This window comes from Homo sapiens, chromosome 11, assembly GCF_000001405.40.
Source record: "Homo sapiens chromosome 11, GRCh38.p14 Primary Assembly".
NCBI lineage: Eukaryota > Metazoa > Chordata > Mammalia > Primates > Hominidae > Homo > Homo sapiens.
Genome location: NC_000011.10, coordinates 128,018,502 through 128,022,121, shown reverse-complemented (window position 1 = coordinate 128,022,121; position 3,620 = coordinate 128,018,502). Strand labels below are relative to the sequence as shown.

The 3,620-nt window shown below is 44.2% G+C and overlaps 1 annotated feature.

The window, feature by feature from the left end:
- Window positions 1,924-2,122: a silencer, noted in NCBI's record as "fragment chr11:127889895-127890093 (GRCh37/hg19 assembly coordinates)". NCBI's record gives its function as "represses an EF-1alpha promoter that drives an FKBP-Casp9 reporter gene in an ReSE screen in K562 erythroleukemia cells {active_cell/tissue: K562}" and the evidence as "EXISTENCE:reporter gene assay evidence [ECO:0000049][PMID:32094911]".

Here is a 3,620-nt window from a genome sequence, read left to right as displayed (position 1 = left end):
CTCTTTGGCCAGTCGACTGCCCCGAAGCAGGCTGGGTGCATCCTGTCATTCCAGGGCCCAGGAACCAAATTCTGAGGGAGGGTAGCAGCTCTCCAACCTACTATCAACACCTGATGGGGTGCTCAGAATGCACCCCATCAGGTGGCTGATGGAAGCACTACAAGATGGTCTAATTCTACCTAGAACTTATATTAACTTCCTTTTTGACTGTTTCCCTCCCAGTTCCCTTGATGTTCCTTGGAGCCATGAGGGGCAAAGAGGTGGCCCCTTGCTGCCCACTAGGTGGTAGTGGAATCCCACCTCTGTCACACTCAGCACTTTCTGCTCTCTCAGCCACCAAAGTCTGATGACAAAACTTCTAATCTGCTGCTGGGAATTTCAGGTTAACTGACTAAGTCACTTTAATTTTCTTGGGAAAATAGTTGCAGTCACACAAAAGATAAGAAGAGGCTCCTGAGCCCCCGACACCTGCAGTGTGAGGGCAGCCCAGCCTTTCACAGCCCCAGTACAGAGAGAAACTTCTTCTCCTGCTGCCCAGCAGACACACATGCCCCCACCCGCAACCCCACAGTCAGGTCAAAGCTTGCTCCTGGCACAATCCGTGTTTACTTCCACGTCTCCAAACCTGGAAGGATGGCATACTTTGTACCTGCTGATGTCAGCCAATGACCTCTCAGCCTCTCTGCCTTCCTCGCCTGCTGCTGCAGGGAAGGCAGGTTGCAAGGGCAGAGCTGATCATAAATTCTAGTGATCTTCTGTAAGATCATTTGCAGCATCAGACTCTTTAATAGACTCTGCTTATTCCTGCGGTGTAGGCTCAAAAAATTTAAGTAGTAAAAATAAATAAAAATCTCATGTCAGTTAAACATAGAGATATGGGCTTTAAAAAAAATCTTTCCCCTCCTCCTTATGTTTTTTCTTCTATGAATGTATTTATGTAACCTCTGCAGCTAAGATTTTTGAAGGGCAAACTTTCCCTAGACAGGGACAATTTTTAGTTTTAGTTAATGCAGTGTACAGGATAAGCAATGGTGCCCTGTGCAGAGTTAGCGCCCATAAATGTCAGTTGATGCTGCCACTACCCTCTGGAAGTTTCATAGAAGAGCTCCTTTCTCTTTGTGACTTCAACGTCCTTCACCTACAGGATCTCATTTTCCACTTACTGTGATAACAAAGGGCCATGGATTATTATCTTCAATTTACAGGTAGGAACAATGTGTCAGGGAAAGATGATCTGCCCAAGAATAGAGAGCAAGTCAGTGATCAGCTGACCATTTCTCTGTTCTTGCAGCAGCCCTCAATGTCTCTTTCAGTGAAGTGCTAACCTGTCACCCCCAAACACTGTACTCATAGAAAGTAGCATCAGGATCTCTTGAAACAGACTGGAGGCCTGGACCATGCACCACCTGCTCTCTGCATGGCCGCTGTTCTCTCCTCTTGTCTCTTTTCACTGCTTCCTAGTCACCAACAGGGCAGATAATCAATGCAGTCTTCTGGTAGATCAATAGCCAACAATATTTCATTACTGCCGGAATCAGGTTGTTCCAGCAGTCTATTGCCGATTTCCCCCAAGTTAGAACATTTACAGGATGGAGCATGGTTCGTATCCAAGCTCTCCACACAATTGACCTGAAACTCCAAGCCTATGTCAGCCTTTGGGCCTGGGAGTTATAAAGCTGGCCTGTAGAGTAATAGTGGCAAAGGACTCAACATTGTGCAATTGCAGTAAGTTCCACCAGCTGATACTCTATTCTCCTTCAAGGCTCCACTCATGTCACCTAGGAGAGACCTTCTGTTAATCTTCCACTTCAGTTGATATTAATTGATTACTCCTTGAAGCTTACATAACATTTAGTGAATATTTCTGTTTTGAAACACTCCGCTTTTGTGTGTGTGTGTGGGTGTGTGTGTGGCAGAGTCTCGCTCTGTCGCCCAGGCTGGAGTGCAGTGGTGTGAACTTGGCTCACTGCAAGCTCTGCCTCCCAGGTTCATGCCATTCTCCTGCCTCAGCCTCCCCAGAAGCTGGGACTACAGGCGCCCGCCACCACGCCTGGCTAATTTTTTTTGTATTTTTAGTAGAGACGGGGTTTCACCGTTTTAGCTAGGATGGTCTGGATCTCCTGACCTCGTGATCTGTCCGTCTCGGCCTCCCAAAGTGCTGGCATTACAGGTGTGAGCCACCGCGTCCAGCCGGCGAAACATCTCTTATAATGCCTTATAGTAGAGGTATTTACCCAAAGTTCTTTTGCGTTGCTCCCAATGTTAGAATTCTGATGTCCTAAGGAATATGTACATATCATATTTACTTTGTATTATCTCTGGAGTCAGCACTTTGCTTCTCCCTAGGACAATGTTATAGGACAATGGACGGCACATATCCATAGAAAAGCTTCATAAACGCTTGTTGGATGGAATTAATTATCTGAACTAGATGCATAGCTTTTAGCCATATCTAATTCGTTCTGAATTTGGCCAGATTAATCTTCCTAAAACAACACTGTTTTCATGTAATTTCCCTACTAAAAAAAGTTCTGAATATTCCTCACTGCCTAATAGGACTAAGTTTAAACAAGGGGACCTAGTATGTAAGTCAACTTAGCTCATCCCTGTTCTATTTTCCAATGGCCTATTTTACAATTTTCCAGTTGCATCTCCTGCTATCTCTGACGTTCATCCGTTACTGTCCACAGGCTCTGCATGGCCCCTTGAAGGTTCCTTTCATACCTCTGCTTACATTTCTTTATGCTAAAGTTATATTTCTACCTGAAATTCCCTCTCTACTTCTTTGATTCTCAAAGTCCTTACTTTTCTTTAGGGAAGAATGATGAATAGAAAAATACCATTGGATTTTGTAGAAAAGAGATCATTAGTAACACTAAAGATAGAACATGGTATTTCTATGAGGTTGGAGGCAGAAATAAGATTTCTGAAGTGAAGAAAGGAAAGAAAAGTGGGAGCAGAGTGTGTGATTCATTTATGTAGTGGTTTGACAGTAAGAAAAAAGGTGATCAGTAATATGTCTGGTTGAGCTCAGTGGTTACAAAGGCATTTTGTTTGGTTTGGTCATTGATATAGGGATATCCGCAGTGTCGGTGGGAACGATGGAGCAGGAACCTTGAGAGGTAAGAAGATGAAATCTGTTGGAGAAAGAGCCTGAGCATGGTGGTCCTCTCTCCAAAAGCTTAAACCTGAGCATCCCGCTCTTCCACTGTGGTCTCTCCCCTTTCAGCTCTCTGTTCGGCCCCATGATGTCATCGCTGGGGACTCATCAGAGCTCCTCTCCTTGCTCTTACTCATTTCCTTTAACAGTTCCCTCCATCACCCATCAATCCAGTAGTACCAACAATCCCTTTTCCTTCTCTTAAATATTATCCCCACTTGTTCAAGCATCAACCCTGGTGAATCCAAATAATTATCTTTATAATTGTACCATGAAAAAGATGGGATGAAAAAAGGTACAAAATAAAACACGTTGGTTCTAATTTCAATTTATTGTCACCAACCTCAAATAGTCCCTCAGGACTGCCAAAGATCATCCAACATTTTATCAAGTTAGCTCACCTTTCTACCCACTGCAGGATGCTGCAAACTTTCTCCAAATTTTTAAATCCCCTGGCCAC